General features: G+C 37.3%; 1 protein-coding gene across 58 annotated transcripts in view; it reads left to right on the top strand.

Moving 5' to 3' along the window:
- The window catches only part of TRIP12 (thyroid hormone receptor interactor 12), a 159,350-nt gene that overhangs the window by 125,499 nt on the left and 12,890 nt on the right, over nt 1–20,961 (top strand). For 37 of the 58 annotated variants that reach the window (NM_001284216.2, XM_047446395.1, XM_047446384.1 and 34 more), the window contains 13 exons: nt 906–1,097; nt 2,358–2,509; nt 4,543–4,715; nt 5,462–5,535; nt 5,623–5,822; nt 6,437–6,564; nt 7,926–8,077; nt 8,748–8,890; nt 10,027–10,183; nt 11,833–11,931; nt 18,698–18,812; nt 19,101–19,255; nt 20,209–20,373. In NM_001284216.2, the coding sequence (NP_001271145.1) occupies nt 906–1,097; nt 2,358–2,509; nt 4,543–4,715; nt 5,462–5,535; nt 5,623–5,822; nt 6,437–6,564; nt 7,926–8,077; nt 8,748–8,890; nt 10,027–10,183; nt 11,833–11,931; nt 18,698–18,812; nt 19,101–19,255; nt 20,209–20,373 (1,905 nt within the window). The remainder of the gene's footprint in view (nt 1–905; nt 1,098–2,357; nt 2,510–4,542; nt 4,716–5,461; nt 5,536–5,622; nt 5,823–6,436; nt 6,565–7,925; nt 8,078–8,747; nt 8,891–10,026; nt 10,184–11,832; nt 11,932–18,697; nt 18,813–19,100; nt 19,256–20,208; nt 20,374–20,961) is intronic. The other 21 variants (XM_047446397.1, XM_047446390.1, NM_001348331.1 and 18 more) reach the window with 1 other exon arrangement.

Genomic DNA, 20,961 nt, shown 5'->3' with positions numbered 1-20,961 from the left:
GCTGTGTCCAGTGCATTTTGCTGGTCTTTTTCAGTCTCTTCCCAGCATCTCCTGCTACTCTTTTCCTTCATGACTCTCTAGCTTCCTATGGATTTAGCTATCCTACATCGACTTTTACCTTATATACACCCTTGGTGCTGGCATTTCTTTTACTTATCCCTTGACTATCAGGATTCATCAGTCTGTATTAAATGTACTAGAAACCTCATCTTTGACTTTCTTTCCTTCACATCTCATCATTCTTGACAAATGAAGAAACTTCAGAAATGTCCTCACAAGCACATCTGTTTTCTAAGTCATCCTCAACTATAGGTATAGATGATAGGCCTTCCTTAGCCCCTCTCTTCACATGGGGTCTCAGAGTGGCAGGAGAGGCTAGAGGTTTACTAATAAGTGTTTTACGTTTCATCTGGTTCTCAGTTTTTGTTCTTATTTTTATTTTTATTTATTTATTTATTTTGATGTTTTTGATGTACCTTGAGCAGTTTTGGTAGTATGTTTTCCAAGAAATTGTTCATTTTGCTGAGACCTTAAATGTATTAATTTAAAGCCACACCTTGTATTCTTGATTCATCTTTCCATTCTGGTGTTATAGCCCCTTATTCTTCAGTTTTCTGTTCTCATCTTTTAAAATACTCTTTTTTAAAGAAAACTACATTGGTTGAATATGAAGATTTTCTTCTTATGTTATTATGGATTCCTGGTTTTCCTCATGAAATATTTAGTGTGTGTGTGTGTGTGTTTAAAATCATAATTTCCAAGGATTTACTAAGACTGTACCACTCCCCTGCCCTCTTTTTTAAGGGCGTTGAGAATATATTCATTTCCTTTTGAGGATATGTGAGTTGTGTATTTTTTAAGTGCTGCTTAAATCAATATAGAAATACTTTTCCTAACTCTTTCAGGTGGATGGTGGAGCTGAGTGCCTTGTAGAAATCCGTAGCATAGTCTCAGAGTCAGATGTTTCATCATTTGAAATCCAACATAGTGGATTTGTGAAGCAGCTGTTGCTTTATTTGACATCTAAAAGTGAAAAGGATGCTGTGAGCAGAGAGATCAGATTAAAGCGATTTCTTCATGTATTTTTTTCTTCTCCAGTAAGTTATCTAATAATGCCTGTGTATCTTTTAAGAATCAGTGCTCACTAATGCATATATTTTCATCTCAGTAATAATTTCCAGCAGGTCTTGGTCAAGACATTGAGGGAAAACTTCTAGGTTTTCACATAGTTGGAATCCTTCAACTTCTGTATATCAAAGTAAATAGTAAAACAATGAAATGGGGATTTAACAAAGCCCATGTCACTATTTCTATGATTGAAGTATCTTGAGTCTTTTTTGCTTGCAGGATGAGCCATTAATAGTAGTCTCTCACCTGTGAATGTATTTTACTTGCAATATTTGTTTTTAAATGTATTGAAGTTTGTATTAGTTCCTTTTAGTGAAACAGACATCTATAATAAGATAGAGGAGTTATATTTTCTTGTTTTGTACATAAAATACAGTTGTAACAGTTCCAATCAAGGGCGCTTAATGACCATTTATGTCACCGTTTATAATGTGGATTACAAAGCCACAGAGTGGCTCCCCTTCCTTCACTCTTAAGTGGGCCAGAGCAAGAGGGTAATCCTTGGATGCTGTTGACAGCATTCTCCTTGTTTTACAGTGGCTTAAAGAGAAGGCATCACTTGGAAACGTTCCCTATTATCTGTGTAATAGGGCTTAGCATAGCTCTCCTATGTATTAACACTATTTCACCATGCGCTTGCAGTCCTCAGAGGCATTTGAGCATTGCTTGTATTTTAACTTGTGAGTCAACCTAAAGCAAAGTTAGTATTTATTGGAGATTCATTAGAAGCGTGACAGTATTATGTATAGTTTTACAGCATACTTAAGATTATGTGCAATCTCTTTTCTGAAACCCCTGGAGTTTGGTCGGTTTCAAAGGTCCTACAGTGTGTAGTACATTAAAATTCCCAGCAGTTTCTGAATAGCACTGTATATTATATGCATTAAATATTTTTATAGCATAACATGAATATTCTTACTAAAATCAGATAAATAAAGACTGTAAATAGCCTTATGTCTGTTTGGATCAGATTTTGCCACCAAGTGACTTGTGTTTTCAGAGCCTTTGGATGTAGAGATTGTGAATACAGGATTGTGGGCTGTACAAAACAGTTGTCTTTATTGAAATAATTGACGTGGTAACATCGTTCAAACCAAATCTGCCATAAAAGATAAAGATGAATAGACAAATTATTCTCTTTTATAAAGCTGCTTATTAAATCTTCTCTTTGAGGAGACTTTTGTTTTGAAAAGGCTTTGTTTAACCTGTTTGTTTATTTATAACTTTAGCTTCCTGGAGAAGAGCCCATTGGAAGAGTGGAACCAGTGGGTAATGCACCTTTGTTGGCATTAGTTCACAAGATGAACAACTGCCTCAGCCAGATGGAACAATTTCCAGTCAAAGTACATGATTTCCCTAGTGGAAATGGGACAGGAGGCAGGTAAGGACCATTGCCTGGCTATACCCTTGCCACTGGAATTTGGTACTTAATTTCACTGAAGTAAGATGGCAAGAGGTCTGGTAAAGTCTTGATTGGCCCAGAAAACATTCAGCTGTAATGATGAAAGAAATTAAGCACTCTAAAGAATGAATCAAATGCTTTCTTATCTTTAAAATTATACCATATGCCTTAAACAGGATGCTTTATAAATATATAATCCAGTGATTGTATTTGTAACTTGTAATAGGCTTAGTTTTCCTTAAATTGATACACTTCAGCATACAAAACTTCCTTAAGAACTTTATGTTTAACTTCAGTAGGGATAAAAAATTTTTTGTGGCTGTGAGTAATGTTTACATTTTGAGCGATATGATTTATATGTAATATTAGTGGCTATAACTTTGTATTTTGATGGGGTCAAATGTTTGAAGTTTTACTAGTTTAATAAATATATATATTTTTAATGTAGTTTTAAGGACTCTTGAGGTGCTACAGGAAAGAATTGTTCTATGTTGTGGAATGTTACAAGTTTCATGGAATATTTTGACCGGAGGCCTAGAAAATAGGAAATTTGTTTGGTTTTTATTTATTTATTTATTTATTTATTTATTTTGGGACAGAGTCTTACTTTGTTGCCCAAGCCAAATTACACTAGTGTGAACATGGCTCACTGCAGCCTTGACCTCCTGGCTGAAGAGATCTTTCTGCCTCAGCCTGCCACGTAGCTGGGGCCACAGGCATGTGCCACCATGTTCCATTAATTTTTTTATTTTTTGTAGAGACGGGGTCTCACTTTGTTGCCCAGGCTGGTCTCAAACTCTTGGGCCCAAGTGATCCTCCTGCCTTGGCCTCCCAAAGTGCTGGGATTTCTGAGCCACCACACTCAGCCTAGTTTGGTTTTTAAATCCACATTTTGACGTTTTAAAAACATTTAAAAAACTTTGTTTGAATTAAAAACCATATGCATTTTTGAGTGATAAAGCAATCACATCATGGACTAGGGTTTCTTTTCTGCTTTGAAATTTAATGTAGTGTGTGGTATTCAGTTTTGATCGTTATGATTTCCTGGAGGAGTTCATGAAATAAGGGGGCATTTTGACCTGTGCTTGAGAAAATCATGAAGCTTTTTGTGTCCAAATTTATATAAAATATGTTTGCATATGTATATATTCATAAAATGGAATATTCTCCACATCCCTATTTGTGTGCTTTATGTGCAGGAGGGTCCAATCTTTTGGCTTCCCTGGGCTATATTGGAAGATGAATTGTCTTGGGCCACATAAAATACACCAACACTAATGTTAGTTGATGAGCTTAAAAAAAAAAAACACTCATTGTATTTTAAGAAAGTTTACGAATTTATGTTGGCCTATATACAAAGCCATCTGGGCTGCATGTGGCCTGTGGGCCGCAGGTTGGACAAGCTTGCTTTGTGGAATCATACAGATAATCACAGTTTAAGTTTGTATCTGACTCCTGCCAGAGCTTTTCTGAAATGAGCAATTAAACATCATGACCAGGTTTCAACTGCAGTAGCTATTAAACCGCTTCGTTCAAAACTATTATAGCAAGGTAAATTTTAAAGGTTAGTTTTTAATGTAATATTGTAGCTGAAATCTTTGAAATAAAGAGTTTTTTTTTTCTTTTTAAAAAATATAATTCAATAGGAATGGGCAAAATATTGCAGAAGTGAGTGTGCTTAAATAGTTCAGGAATTTTTGTTCCAGAAAAATAATTAAATATTCATGGGTGAAGTATTTCTGCTCCCATGGATTTATGATGGGACAGAGATCAAATATTGACTTAAGGTTTTCATATGCATGCATACACATCCGTCTTTTATTTCTTACGTATAAAAATTTTTTCTAAATAACTTGAATTATTGGCTTTACCATTCACAGAACTGGTAAGTAAATGCTTAGTACTAGTGTGTCTTATGAAAATGCAGTTTGTATTAACTTGCCTTTATTTGAATTAATGTATATTAAATGTGAAAATAATAGACTAACTTTTTTTTCACAAATTATCTTGAGCTTTTCTCTCAACAGAGGATCACAGGCTTTAAAATTTTTCAACACACATCAATTAAAATGCCAGTTACAAAGGCATCCAGACTGTGCAAATGTGAAGCAGTGGAAGGGTGGACCTGTCAAGATTGACCCTCTGGCTTTGGTACAAGCCATCGAGAGATACCTTGTAGTTAGAGGTACTTTCCATATATTTGTTTCGTGTGTTATATATGTATATTTGGGAGAAATTTACATTAAGAGTTACATACATTATTTCTCTGTTTAATGTTGTTTCTGTTAAAAAATAGATGGCAGGAACTTATATTCCTGTCTTTTATTTTCTACTTAGTATATAGTCATACATTGAACTTACTAGGGGTTGACTGCTTCCTTGAATGTTGAGTTAATTTATCTTGGTGAAATGTAGTAGAAATGACATTTTGTGTTTGGCAATTTTCTTAGACCTTTCTGCTTCATAGATCAGAGTGTAATATATACAGGTTGAACATCCCTAACCTGAAAATCTAAAATGCAAAACGCTCCAGAATCTGAAACTTTGATTGTTGCCGTGAACATCGCAAGTGGAAGACTCCACACCTGACAACTTTGCTTTCTGATGGTTCAATGTACATACACTTTGTTTCATGCACAAAATTATTGAAAATACTGTATATCATTACCTTCACGCCATGTATATGAGATATAAATGAATTGCATATTTAGATTTGTATCCCATCCCCAAGGTATCTCATTATGTACATGCAAATATTCCAAATCTGAAAAAATTTGAAATCTAAAACACTTCTGGGCTCAAGCATTTCAGATAAGGGATACTCAACCTATATGTGTTTTCTAAGAATATGTTTAACCAGTGTGTATACAGGATTTTTTTTTTTTTACACCTAAAATCGCTAAGAGTTTAAAAGTCTACTTGGGTCTTCAGGGTATGGAAGAGTAAGAGAAGATGATGAAGACAGCGATGACGATGGATCAGATGAGGAAATAGATGAGTCTCTGGTAAGGTACTATATTCCCACCATGTATAATGTACTATATAAAGTTCAGGGCCTTTGGCTTAAATGGCTTTTGCTTTGCTTTATTCAGGCTGCTCAGTTCCTAAATTCAGGAAATGTAAGACACAGGCTGCAGTTTTATATTGGAGAACATTTGCTGCCGTATAACATGACTGTGTATCAGGCAGTACGGCAGTTTAGTATACAGGCTGAAGATGAAAGAGAATCCACAGATGATGAGAGCAATCCTCTAGGCAGAGCTGGTATTTGGACAAAGACTCATACAATATGGCAAGTCTGAAAATTCTTTCTTTTGTTTTTTCATAAACTTTGAAACTGTTCTTGTGTTTTAGAATTCACATTAACTTAATGGCTGGCTTTCATAAGGATAGGGGGCCCTAAATCACACATTTTAGTTCTGAAAGACGATTTCAAATATTTGATAAGGTGCATATGTATATGTAGCCTCCTCATTCATTCTACCGGAAAATGTATATCCATGGACAGTAATCATGGTTTACATCTGCTTTTCTAGATTTATTTCAGGTCTTTAATTAAGACAAAAATGTTGCCATAAGATATTAGGTAATCTGAAGTTGGGCATCTCTGAGTCCTTAAGAGGGATTTGGATGCAGCTTCCTGCATTGTCTGTGAGTGTCTGCTACATATGCTTGAAGAGAGCCATTCTTCCCAGAACCACCCTTGGAGTTTCTGAGGCAGCCCCTCCTGGGAAGGTGGTCTCTAGGTGATCTCTTCTAAGAAGTTCTCCAGATTCACACTAGGGAGAGAGAGGAGAATAGATCTCAGAACAGTCTTCTGGTAACTGTGGTGTCTGTGGCTTAGATTTTGGCTTTGTATCAGTTTCAAAATCTACATTTGGTTTATATACTGTCTTGTCATTTTAGGTATAAACCTGTGAGAGAGGATGAAGAAAGTAATAAAGATTGTGTTGGTGGTAAAAGAGGAAGAGCCCAAACAGCTCCAACGAAAACTTCCCCTAGAAATGCAAAAAAGCATGATGAGTTATGGCACGGTAAGATGGTAGATAAAGGGGAAAATGGATTGCCAACTGGGCAATCTTCCCATTTTCATGATTTTCAAAGAGTGATTTGGATTTAGTAGTAAAATTTTTGAATATAGTTGAGAAATAAATGACATTACAAACAGTTTGATCACATTTAATCCTCAACTTTAATATCTAGAAAATGAAAAATTAAGTACCTACAAAATTAAATTGGGAAGGAAAATTGGGAAAAAAACTTATTCCCAGTTCATATAAGAGTTCAGGTTTTTATGAAGGTTGAAACAAATTTCATTGGTAGAACATGTTCACTAAACAAGAGACTGAAGGTAGTGATAATTGGCCAATTGGCCCCTAATTTTTTATTTGTCACCCATGACAGTAGTACAATTATAGTAATTATAAAAAGTGATGCCAGGTAATGTAATGACCATCGAATATAACCGTCACTTTCTAATAGACTTATTTTCCTCTGTAATACTTCCTTCCTGTCTATAGTTTTCCTCTCTTCCCCCACGTCTTCCCTTTAAAAATACGATACTAACAGTGCCTTAGAGTTAGACAATATTATTGTTCCATGGAGGACACCCCCCCCTCCCCCTGCTCCCTGCCCCCTGCCGCCACCACAGTAATTTTCACACTGGTTTCCCTGGTCCACAGAAAAGGGCCCTGTAGCACTTTTTTTTCACAAAACTAAGTTTGTTCGATATAAAAGGCTCTTAGTTTTGAGATTGTTATGTTTTTGGTGTTAAACATGCTGTTTTCTATTATGAAATGATGGTGGTATGATTTTTTATTATTTTGCTTGCTATAAGTAAATGGCAACTGTTTCAATCCCTCAGATTTATTTTTTTGATGCCTTTACTTAATGCAGTCTAATAACAAAGGATTTGCAGACCCTTACTTGAAAACCCTCACAATCTGTTCAGTCCTAAGCCTTGCATTAAATAACCAAGTCTCTTTTACCAGATTTTTAATTTTGAGGTATTCATCTAGTTATAAACTGGATATGAAAGATCTGGGAAATTTCTGTAACAGTGAACTTAAATTTAAACAGTTTGTTTTTATTCCTCCAGCCATTTTACTGTTTGCCATTGTTTCTGGTATAAAGGAGAAATGTGGAGGAGTCAGCTTTCCTGCATTATAATGTTTATTTGTGTATGGGAGGGAAAAGTGAAATTTTTATAAGCCAAGGCACTTTATATATAAGATAAAATGGGAAGATTGTCAAACTTATCAATACCCTACTAATAAGATTCCAAGCGTTGACTATAACAACTTCTGTTACTCTTTTAGCGATGATAGGACCTTGGCTGCACTGGCTTAGCCTTTCTAACTTTGATCAAAACTTACTTTGATCTTTTGTCCTTTAGATGGAGTGTGCCCATCAGTATCAAATCCTTTAGAAGTTTACCTCATTCCCACACCACCTGAAAATATAACATTTGAAGACCCGTCATTAGATGTGATCCTTCTTTTAAGAGTTTTACATGCTATCAGTCGATACTGGTATTACTTGTATGATGTGAGTAATGTTGCCTATTTATGAAGTTTTCATGGTCTGTGATTGATAAATTTCCTATTGCACTAGAAATGGAAACAGTGATTCAGCTAAATGCAGGGCTCCTAGCCCAGTAAAGTACAATGTACTCATCAGTGGAAACTTCTCCCCCACTTTTTTTTCTCCTGGCCCACAGTCTTAGATTAATTCTCTTGGCAGATTTGTAAAATTCTCTCTAGGAATAAATTTATGAAATTAAGCTACAATATGAAACTTGAACATGGATTTATTATAGTTAAAATTCTTTAGGTACATGTAACCAGAAGTTTATATATCAAGTAAAAGTTGGGTGAAAGTTGCATGCTGCCTTTGATATTTATATAGCATAGAGAAGAGTAAAGGAATTGGCCCTGCATGAAACATTAGCTGCAACATCACTGAATGACTGAGCCAGCAGCAGTGGCTGGGCGGGGTGCGCAGCAGTGGCAAGGGGTATGTGTGAGGGCTTAACAGTGTATTGTGGGAATTGTTGTTTTAGTTGGGACACAGTAATGAGAGGCTGTGTGTTGTATGTTGGAAACCAACACGTGAATTCAGGGTACTTTGCATGGACTTGGGGATAATGGAAGAGATTGTGAATATAATCCTAATATTTTACTACATGTAGACTTTTTTTTTTTTAAACATTTTACAGAATGCAATGTGCAAGGAAATTATTCCAACTAGTGAATTTATTAACAGTAAGTTAACAGCAAAAGCAAATAGGCAACTTCAAGATCCTTTAGTAATCATGACAGGAAACATCCCAACATGGCTTACTGAGCTAGGAAAAACCTGGTAAGACAATCACTTCTGTAATGGTGGCCTTGGAAATGTTACTGGGTTGGTCTTGATGTATTTTGTTACAGAAACATTGTCTTTACTGGACCTAGTCAAATGTTTATTAATACTGTTGATCACAACTTGCTTAATTGTGTGGCTTTAGCATGTAAACAGACTAGGCAAGTTTGGGGGCTGGATCTTCTTGGTAGTATGTGTCTATGTATGAAACAGGAAAGTACACATAGCAGTTTGGCTGAGGATAGTCAAAATTATCTGCTGTCATGGAATTGGATTCCAAAGGTGTAGTTGCTTGATTCTCTGAGCCTGCTTGGGTCAGGGACTCTAGAACTGCAGTGATAAATGTAAGCCACTGGCCATATACATTTAAATCGGCAGTCCCCAACTCTTTTTGGCACCAGGGACCAGTTTCATGGAAGACAGTTTTTTCCACAGACATGGACTGGGAGATAGGGCTGGTTTCAGGATGATTCAAGTGCCTCATGAAGGTGGTGGTCATATTTTAAAAATGAGCTTTCATTAGTTATGTTATACTTCCTTCAGGTAGATTAAAGATGATCTATCGACTTAAGTGTAGGATTTTAAAAATTAAATATCAGATTCTGCATTGAAAGGCTACTTAATGCACTATTACTTGATCACTTAGAAATTTCATATAAGAAGTATGAAAATTCTTAAAAATTAATTGACCTGGCTGGACGTGGTGGCTCACATCTATAATCCCAGCACTTTGGGAGGCCAAGACAAGTGGATCACCTGAGGTCAGGAGTTAAAGACCAGCCTGGCCAACATGGTGAAACCCCGTCTCTACTAAAAATACAAAAATTAGCCAGTTGTGGTGTCAGGAGCCTGTAATCCCAGCTACTTGGGAGGCTGAGGCAGGAGAATTGCAAGAGCCCGGGAGGTGGCGGTTGCAGTGTGCCTAGATCACACCACTGCACTCCAGCCTGGGCGACAGGAGCAAGGACTCCATCTCAAAATAAATAAATAAATTGACCTAAACAATTTTTACTGATTTTATTTACAATTTTCTATATCATATCAAAAGTTGTTTCTAATATAAGTTTGGATTTTTTTTTTAGTAGTTTCTGATTCTCATCCAGATAATAAACTTACATTGCATCTTTTTACAGCCCATTTTTCTTTCCTTTTGATACCCGGCAAATGCTTTTTTATGTAACTGCATTTGATCGGGACCGAGCAATGCAAAGATTACTTGATACCAACCCAGAAATCAACCAGTCTGATTCTCAAGATAGCAGAGTTGCACCTAGATTGGATAGAAAAAAAGTAAGTTTCTCCCCAAAATCTTTAAATAATCTGAGCTTTTCAAAATAATGGGAAAAACTAGAAATGTAGTATATCTAAATATGCATGTTGGTCTTGGAGGCCTTGGTCATATTCAGCTAGCCCTATTTTCCTTTCAGTCTCTTGGAACTGGGCTGTGATTCTTCCTTATTCTTCATTAAGAGTTTCTCTCCTCCCCACCCCCCAGTTTCTGAAATAATTTCTACAATTCTCTTTTCTCTTTTAGTTGCCGTAACTCTTAGACCAAGAAAGAATCTTGTCTTCTCTCACTGAAACTTTTTTCATTCTAAATTAGGAGTTCAAACTATCTCCTGCCTTTAAAAATTGATCCCTTATGTAATAGTTGGAATTAATCAGATCCATTTCATTCCCTTAACAAGTCACTCCAATTAGAAGAGCCTGAAACAAAATCCTTTATATGTTTTGAGTCTCTTATACCAGTTAGCTCCAGTATTGCTAACTTAATCTGTGTTTCTAATCTTGGCTCCACATTTGTGGCTCTGAACCACGGGGCCCTGAGCCATTTCCAGTGGAGACCGATTCTACAGTTCTCACCAGCACTGTTTTTACTTAGGTCTTTTCTGTTCATTTACCTGTTTTTTTCCGCTAGGGATTTAAGTTTCTTTTCCTAAAGCCTTTATCTCCAAAAGTTTCATAAGAGACATTAGTAATAAAATAAAGGAGTTAGATGGATGGCAGGGAGTGAAGTGTATACTGAAAAGCAAAACAAAACATAAAGCAAACATTGTAGTTAAAAAAATCTTCTTGGGCCCGGTGTGTGGTGGCTCCTGCCTGTAATCCCAGCACTTTGGGAGGCCGAGGCGGGCGGATCATGAGGTCAGGAGATCGAGACCATCCTGGCCAACATGGTGAAACCCCATCTCTACTAAAAATACAAAAAAAAAAAAAAAAAAAAAAAAAATTATCTGGGCGTGGTGGCGCATGCCTGTAATCCCAGCTACTTGGGAGGCTGAGGCAAGAGAATCACTTAAACCAGGGAGTTGGAGGTTGCGGTGAGCTGAGATTGCGCCACTGCATTCCAGCCTGGCAACAGAGCGAGACGCCACCTAAAAAAAAAAAAAAAAAAAAAGTCATCCTATTCGTATCTTTATTAGGATTCCATAAGCACTGATATTGGCATAAATTAGAAATCTAGCAGGACCTTTTAAAATCTCATTTGCAGGTGTTTGTAGTAGTGCTTGTAGGATCTTGGCAGATCAGAGCCAGTAGGTTTCCAGCTCACCTGTTTGACCTGTCACCTCCATATCTATTTCTCTATCTAAATATAAATGTACCCAGGGAAATTTCATGAAACTGCAGCCCTGAGAATTGCACTGATATTTGGCAAAGACGATTTTTTTCTTCCCCAACTTGAATTTTCTGAACTTGCCATGGCCACAAGATAAATTAGTAATTACTCTTGCATCTGATTTCCTTAATGTATGCCAGGGTGCTGTTGATATTTGTAGCAATACAGCTACCTCTTAACCTTTTCTGAGTTACCTGTTTAAGGAAATAAGTGTTAACAATTGAGTTGATCTTGTTCTTTTGCATTTCAAGAAATGCCACCTGTTTATTAAAGTGTAATATGGGTAGAGCATAGTTTCCTGACAGTTGTACTTTCTTTGTAGCGTACTGTGAACCGAGAGGAGCTGCTGAAACAGGCGGAGTCTGTGATGCAGGACCTCGGCAGCTCACGGGCCATGTTAGAAATCCAGTATGAAAATGAGGTGAGCTTGGAGTCTGGTGATGGTTATTTAGCTTGACTTGTGCTCTTAATTAAATGTTATTTGAGTTTCTTGGTACTATGAAATTCTGAAAGACAGTTGGGAGACTTTGCTCTCTTTTCTCTTGAATGATTTGTTCTAAGTTCTCCATTTTTCAAAGGTTCAACTAAATAATAAAAGGCAGTTTTTTTCCTGGCGTAAGAACACATTTGTGTTGTTAGTCTTTAAGTTGATAAATTGAAAGGATATTTTAAACAGCTGATAACTTTCAAAATGTTTGAATTGCCTTTTTTAAAAAATCAGGTTTACTGAGATATAAATAATAACTGCATACTTCAAAAATGTAGTTTTGTAGTTTTAAGGGTTGACAGATGCAATTTGTTACCACTTTCACGTCAAGATAAAGAATACTCTGATCACCACAAAAAGTGCCCCCATTTCACTTTGCAAAATCAGTCATTCTATCCCCTACCCCATCCTCAGCCCTTGATAAACATTGATGTGTTTTCTGTCCCTGTAATTTTGTCTTTTTTACAATATCATAAATGGAGTCATGCAGTATGTAGCCTTTGTCATTCTTCTTTCACTTAGCATAATGCTTTTGAGATTCATCCATGTTGCATGTGTCAATTTGTTTCCTATTATGGAGTAGTTCCATTATATGAACTATATATTGAGTATTCCATTATATGGGTGCACCAAAGTATGTTTAACAATCACCAGTTGATTCACATTTGGGTTGTTTCCAGTTTTTGACTATTTTGAGTAACATTGCTGTGAACATTTGTATTCATTTCCTTGTGGAGACACATGTTTTTACTTCTTTGGGTAAATGCCTCAGAACTAAATTGCTAAGTCATTTGGTAAGATAGAGATATGTTTTTATTTTGTTAGAGATACAAAACTTTTCCAAAGTGGCTGTCACATTTTACATTCCCACCAGTAACGTATATATGCGAGTTCAATTGCTTCTCATACTCACAACACTTGGTATTGTTTTAGTTATTCTAGTGGATGTATAGCGGCATATTATGGTGGTTTTAATTTTTATTTCCCTCATGATTGATAATGTGACCTTTTCATTGCTTATTGGTCATTCATGTATTTTCTTTGGAGAAGTATTCAAGAATTTTGGCCATTATTTTCTTCCAGTTTGTGGCTTATCTTTTCATTTATTTATAAAATGTCTTTGGAAGAGCAGAAATTTTCAGTTTTGATGAAATCCATTTATCTTTTTTTTTTTTTTCTTGTTTGTGCTTTTTGCATCCTAAGAAATCTTTCTCTAAACCATGGTCTCAGATTTTTCTTATATTTGTTTTTCTAGAAGTTTTATAGTTTTGGCTTTTCATCTGTGATTCATTTTAAGTTAATTTATATATATATATATTAATTACAGTTTGAAGTTCTTTCAGACATAGGCTATTCAGATTTTTTTGCACTATCTGCTGAAAAGACCGTTCTTTTTCCTATTTAATTACCTTGACCCCTTTGTGGGAAACTGGTTGATTGTGATGTCTGGATCTCTTTCTAGATTTTTTTTCTGTTATTATTCTATACTGTGTTGATCACCATAGCTTTATAGTAAGTCATAATCAGGTAGTATAAGTCCTCCTTTTTTTTTTTTTCTTTTCTCTCTCTTTTTTTTTTTTGAGACGGAGTTTTGCTCTTGTTGCCCAGGCTGGAGTGCAATGGCACAATCTCAGCTCACTGCAACCTCTGCCTCCTGGGTTCAAGTGATTCTCCTGCCTCAGCCTCCAGAGTAGCTGGGATTACAGGCATGCGCCACCACGCCCAGCTAATTTTGTATTTTTAGTAGAGACAGGGTTTCTGCATGTTGGTCAGGCTGGTCTCGAACTCCTGACCTCAGGTGATCCACCCACCTCAGCCCCCCAAAGTGCTGGGATTACAGGCATGAGCCACCGTGCCTGGCCTTTTTTTTTTTTTTTTTTAAAAGATGGTTTGGTTATTTTCAACTTTTATTTCATGTGAATTTTAGAATCAGCCTGCCAGTGTCTACAAAAAGTTTGACAGGATTTTGATTCGGATTTCTTTCAATTTAGATCAGTTTGGAGAGAATTGACATGTTTACAGCATTGTGTCTTCTGATCCATGAATGTGGTGTACACTTATCTGAATCTTTAATTTTTCATTATTTACATCTAGAGGTCTTTCTTGCACATATTTTGTTTCGCTCCAAATGTTTTGTGGTTTTTTGATGAAGCTGAAAATGATACTGTTCTTTCATTTTCAGTTGTTTGTTGGTTTCTAGAAATACAGTTCGTTTTTGTATCATAACCTTGTTTTCTGTGACCTTCATAAACTTAAAACTTGTTAATAAATCACTTACGATTATTGTAGACCCATGGCTTGGGAAAACTTTCTGTGAAGGACCAGATAGTAAATATTTCAGGTTTTGTGGGTCACATGGTCTCCATCACAACTACTCACTTCTACCTTTGTAGTGTGAAAGTGGCAATAGACACTGAATGAGCATGGCTGTGTTCCAGTGAACCTTTATAGTCACAGAAATGTAAAGTTCATGTGATTTTCACATGTTGTGAAATACTATTCAAATTATTTTTAATCGCTTAAAATTGATACAAGTTATTCCTAGCTTGCAGAAAGTACAAAAACAGACCCTGGGGCTGGAGCTGTAGTTTGGCCCGCCAGTTGTATAGCTTGCTGCCTTGTGTCATAGACATTTATATCATCCGTGAATAAAATGAAACTTCTCTTCTAGTCTTTGTCTTTTCTTTCTTTTCAGATACTTTTAAACAAGCAAAGTCTCTTGGGATACTTCCCCCCTCTTCTTTCACCTAATTTTTTTGTTTTAAGACAAAACTTAGAGTTTTGGGGCTTCCCTGAACCTCTTAATGGAGGTTCTGCCCCTCAGCTTTCTTATCTGTAAAATGTAGGTAATAATAGTATAACCTCAAAGTTGTGACTGAGTTCATGAACTGAGTACATGAACTGGCTCATGGTAAGTATCATAGATTTAGCAGTTTAGTGTGTGATACTACCTGTGCCTATTTAAGTAATTTTAATCATGACTTTGATTTTTCATTCATTTTATTAAGCATTTTCTCCTTCTTGATGACTTTTAAAAAGCTAAGAGTATTCAGTCACCAAAGGTAAAATTATAAGTTGTTGTGTACTGGAAAGTATACTGCATGCTAGGGTTCCAGGTTATGGCAGAGTCTCTGCACTCAAAAGATTACAGTGTAGTTAGGGAGACACAGGACAAAGGTACCAAAGAGTGTGGCAAGGTAGTGGTACAGGTGCCAACTGAATGACGCATTCAGACAAGGAGTGCTGTCCTCAAGATGTCTTGAGTTAGACCTTAGTGAAAGAGAACAGGAAGATTGAGGAACCATTTTCTAGTAGGAGATGGGGCCTGAGCAAAGGGTCAGGCTTGGTGGTGAGTGGCAGAAGTTAGTACTGCTGTAGAAGTGTTGGGAGAAGGGGGATAGAAAGGAGGAGGCCAGATGGAGTGGAGGCCCTGGACTGCTGGCATAAGAGATACGGATTTTTTGAATCTAGCTTGATCATGGCTGTTGCTCAGAGGATGCGATTCTTATATGTTGGTGCATCCAAATTTGTTACTTATGAGACTGCAGGACCTTTGCTCTAACCATTTGGTATGTTTTTAGTCTCTTTAAACGTACATTCCACTTTCTTCAGCATATTTTTCTCTTGCCAGGAAATATCTTTCCTCTCTCATCCCTCATGGTTCTGTTAAAATTGCATCTTGCGTGAAACCTAAACAAGCTCAAAATGTCTTCACACAGGTTGTTCTAAGGAGCAGGATTGGATTGCTAATGTAAGGTCAAGATTTTATGCCCTTCCTTCATGGGTCTTACCTGTTGACCTCGGAAAAGATTCCAGGAGCTGCTTCACTGGGGAAGGGGAAAGTACCTCCACCCCTACCTCACAAGCACTGACTTTGTGAGATGCATAGGGCTTCAGGTTATGATTCAAATTCAGCTGTACATGTCAGCTGGTGGCCTTTAGGAAGAATTTCTAACTAGCTCTAGAAGAATCCCAGTGAAAATGTCAGGTCACAGTGTGGGCTCCTATTTGAATTGGGATGATTGGTAAGCCAGGGAAGGATTATACCAGTCTTTGGGCTCACAAGCCACCCAAACCCCCAGGATTAGGGTTACAAATGACCCAGTGACCCAGTATCCTTTTGGGAATGTGGAAGATCAGGAGCAGGGAATGTGGAGCCTGGCCTGCCCACTTACTGGCTATGTGATTTTGGGCAAGTTAACATAAACTCATCAGTGTCCTCTCAGCCCTTTACATAATTAGTGCAGCTGCCTCCTCATGTTGTTAGAATGATAAAATGAGCTGCAATGTGTGAAACACTCAGACCATTGTCACATAATAAGTGCCAGTATGTGTTAGTTTTGAGAGAAAAAGATTCCATTTTAAGTCAAGTTGTCAAACTTTTGTTTTTCTGTTTCTGGGGTTTTATGCTTTCCTTTCCTTTAAAAAGAAAAATGAAGCTCAACCAAGTACCTACACTTTTAGTGGTGTAGTTGGGTAGAATGATAATCCCTGAAGAGATCAGGTTACTCTGTGGGGGTGCTGGCCACCCCCAGGTTGTATCAGCAAAGCAAACATGACCTGGGCCTTCCACCTTCTGCAGAGGCTCACAGAGGAAGTGCTTTTAGTGATTTAATATTTTAAGAATCCTTTTAGAAACAACAGCATTGGATGAAGGAAATAGACTAATTTGATCTGTGACTTCTGTTGAACCTGGGATAATGTTATGCCAAAAGGAGAATTGACTAGCACCATCTAGTGGATACCATGTGTTACTGCAGGTTTTTCTTTGCTTCTCTTTTGTTCCTCAGGCCTCTAGTGCTTGGGATTCAGTGCAGAACAGAATATACAAAGTACTCCCACCCCCATGATGGAGCTTATCTTTTAGTTTGGGGAGGCCAATACATACACACACATTCATGTACACATATATGTTAGGCCATGTGGAAGAAAAGTAAAAATAAGAGGATGAAGCATTATGGGGATGCGTAGGGCAGTCTGAGGACATTTGAGTGGAGGCAAGTCATTGCGTCTGGGGGAAGAGTATCTCTAGCACAAGAACAGAGAAGCAGTGTTCCTAGCCTGTTGGAGGATGAGTGTGGCTCGAGCATAGAGAGCAAGGGCAGAGTAGTAGGAGTCAGAGAGACTGAGCAGGGTGGGCAGAGGGGTCATGTAGGCCGTGGTAAGAACTGGAGCTGTGCTTTGAATGAGATGGAAAACCTTTGGAAAGTAGCAAAGGGATGCCGCGAACTTGTGTTTTGTAAGGATTACGCTTGCTCCTGTGAGAATGGGATACAAGATGTCGGGAATGCTAGTGCAGAGACCATCTAGGAGGCTTTAGCAGTGGACCAGATGACAGAGAATGGCAGCTGGGTAAAGTTGGTAATTAGTTTAGAATGCATTTTGAAGGCAGCGCTTATTGTATTTACTCTGATGGATTGGATTATGCGAGTTTAAAGAATGGCCAAGGACGGCTCTAAGGATTTGGTGGGATTATTCATTTTGGGTTTAATGGTGATACCATTTACTGGTGTGGAATTCTAATAGGATTGGGGTTAATCAGGAAAGCACCACTAGGCCCAAGCAGATCTCTGTTTTGAGAGAGTTAAACGTTTAGTGGACTACCTCTAAACTTTTAAGCTAGTGTGGGTAATTTTTAAGAGTAACTGTAATAATGCTAAAATAGTACCCTTTGTTTACAAGTAATCTATAAATGTTGCCTTCTTGACAGGGTTACAGTTAGACTTAGAGTATAACCTGTGATATGAACTTGTCACTACCTGCATATCTTTGTTTATGGTCTGATCTGGCGGGACCTTGACAGATCGTGAAGGAAGGAGCAAGCTATGAACACTGCTTCAGGCATGTCCACATCAGGTGTCTCATGGAGGAGTAGTTTCACTTTAGGCTGCACAGTCACCTTCAGAACTTGTTTAATAATACCAGTGCCCAGGCTCTAAGCTGTACCTGCCAGATCAGAATCTTCAGGACGTGGCACCCCTATATGTGCATGTTGATAAAGCTCTGGGGATTCCAGTGCACCCTGGGAGTTGAGAAGCATTGGTGTCCTGTATGAGGCCGTTAGTCCTTTCTGTGCTGGTGTGGAATCAGACCTTCCATTATTTGTATTTTATTCGACATATCTCTATTAAATGGCTACTGTGTGTCAGGTACTATCAGAGATAACAGGATGACCAAAATAGTTATCATCCTGTGAAATATGCAAGCATATACTGAAATTGTGGTAAAGTCATGTAGTAAGTATTTAAGTAGCTGAAAAATAAGCCCCAAGAAAAAAGGAACAGACTAACTGTTGGGAGCAGATGCTGGGGGGAGCCTTCCCCTTGAGAGGGTGACATTTGAGCTGGTTTTGGGGTAACAGTTCACTAAAGAGAAAAAGGGGAAAGACATCCATATGCAGACAATGCCATATTGTTCCTGAAGGAAAGATATGTAGCCACAGTGGCACTTCTGTGAGTACAACCTGAAATTGTTCAACTGACATGTTGGGGCCTTAGCGGCTAGGAAATAATAAAGAGTTGCTAGTTTTTGTTTCAGGTGACCAGGACTGAAAGAATAAATCCAGCCAGGACATTTTGGAAAATAATCTCTAATGCATCCTGGTAAACAGTTGCTGTTAGTGTGCACATTTCCAAGAGGTTGGCAGTAAAAAAACACAATTCTTAAAATTTGAAATCGTTCTACTTGTGTTCTTCTGTAGGTTGGTACAGGTCTTGGGCCTACACTGGAGTTTTATGCGCTTGTATCTCAGGAACTACAGAGAGCTGACTTGGGTCTTTGGAGAGGTGAAGAAGTAACTCTTAGCAATCCAAAAGGTAATGCCTATCTGTAAGTTAGTTGGTTTGTGTTACTCAGATCAGGTAATGGACTCTGACAGTTTATTAGACATATTTAATTTCTAATGGACAGCTGTACTTGCTTTCTTTTAGCCTCTGTTTTCTCATTTATCAAATAGGGAAGGCCTGTCCAGTTCTAGAGGACTTCATTCAGTGATCTGCACTCCAATTTTGAGAATGCTTAATTTCTTAAATGTTCTTAGTTACCAGGTTTTGTTTTGTTTTTGGAAACATCATCTGAAGTTTGCTGCATTGCTTGTTTTTCAGGGAGCCAAGAAGGGACCAAGTATATTCAAAACCTCCAGGGCCTGTTTGCGCTTCCCTTTGGTAGGACAGCAAAGCCAGCTCATATCGCAAAGGTTAAGATGAAGTTTCGCTTCTTAGGAAAATTAATGGCCAAGGCTATCATGGATTTCAGATTGGTAAGTTTAGGATGGTTTGCTTTTTGCAGTTTTGGTGTAGAATGTTCTGTGCAAGTACCTCAGTCCCCTGTAGTTTACTGCTATAGTTTAGAGCAATGCTTCTCAAACTTCAATACACATATGAATTACTTGGGGATTTTGTTAAAAATGCCGGTTCTGATTCAGTAGGGCAGGGGTAAGACTGTCCTACTGTCCAAGATTCTAAATTTTCCTGTCAGCTCCCAGGGCATGCCCGATTGCCAGGTTGTGGACCCCTCCTTGGATAGCAAGGGTTCAGATAATCAGGCAAGTTAAGGTGGTATTAATTATTTATTTTTTAAAGTCTGACATTACCTTTTTAATTCAGTAGGAAAGTTTGTGCATGTAACTAAACTTCATTAAATTTACATTAGAGTGCTGTTGTGAAAATAACCCGAGTGATCAGTATTCATAGAGGTTGGAATGTTTCTGGACATTTCTTCATTTCTTTTTCTCTTGAACTTCTGGCCTCAAGCAGTCCTCTCACATTGGCCTCCCACAGCACTGGAATTACAGGCATGAGCCACCGTGCTCTTCTCATGTTTTCGGAGGCACTTTATCAGTATGTTTAAGACATTTTCACCTGTGGCCAAATTGACAAGTTTACAATTTCACTTTAACTGAAGAGTGGGCAGTTTATCAGTTATTTTAGAAGTTCCATTTAGTTTTCTATTTTAAATATAGTAAGTTTTTTCCCTTAACATTTTTTGCATTGGGATATTCAGTAATACAGACTACAGTGGAAATGCATTTAGAGCCCCAAATCAAGAGAATCAATTTTGTGTAGTGGGAGAAATAGTTTGTAACTACAGAATTTTCTTTCTTGGGGATTACTTGACCTATTAATATTTAAATGATCTCCTGAAGTGCCTTAGATGGAGGTAATGCTGGAAGTTCAGTGTGACAGTGAAAATATTATGCATATTCCATTTCAGGTGGACCTTCCCCTTGGCTTACCCTTTTATAAATGGATGCTACGGCAAGAAACTTCACTGACATCACACGATTTGTTTGACATCGACCCAGTTGTAGCCAGATCAGTTTATCACCTAGAAGACATTGTCAGACAGAAGAAAAGACTTGAACAAGATAAATCCCAGGTAGGCTTAGAAGAAACAGTCCAGTAGATCAAGTCTTTATTTTAGAAAAATGAGGCTTTTGTTAAATAGTTTGTATTTGACTCAGTTGTTATATTAATGTTTTATTTTAGAAGATTTTAATTCTTTTATTGTACTAACTAAGACATATGATTTCACAGTGGGTCACATGACCTATACTCACAGCAGGCTATAAACATCTTGATTAGCAAATACAATTCTAAATCAAACCATAAATAAGGACTCCTTTCAATTAAATTTTAGATGGACATATTATGTATCTGGGCAGACATTATATCATCTTTTAGCATTTGAGTCAGTAAAACTATTCTCAGAACAGATTTATTTTCAAAAAAGGTAGCTTAATTTAGGAACAGTCTTGTTTCTAGAGATCTCAGGAAGATATTTTTTAAAGGTCACCATGAGTGCCAACAACTATTCCTTGGTAATACATTTTGAGGTTTCTCTGTGACATCTCATAGATAACCTTGAACTTCATATCATTACTGTATAATTTTAATGTATATAATTAACAATAGATAAATTATTTAACTCAATCTGAGATTAATAATGGTTCTGTATCTGCTATTA

This window comes from Homo sapiens, chromosome 2 (assembly GCF_000001405.40).
Source record: "Homo sapiens chromosome 2, GRCh38.p14 Primary Assembly".
Classification (NCBI taxonomy): domain Eukaryota; kingdom Metazoa; phylum Chordata; class Mammalia; order Primates; family Hominidae; genus Homo; species Homo sapiens.
This window is presented reverse-complemented; position numbering and strand designations above follow the sequence as displayed.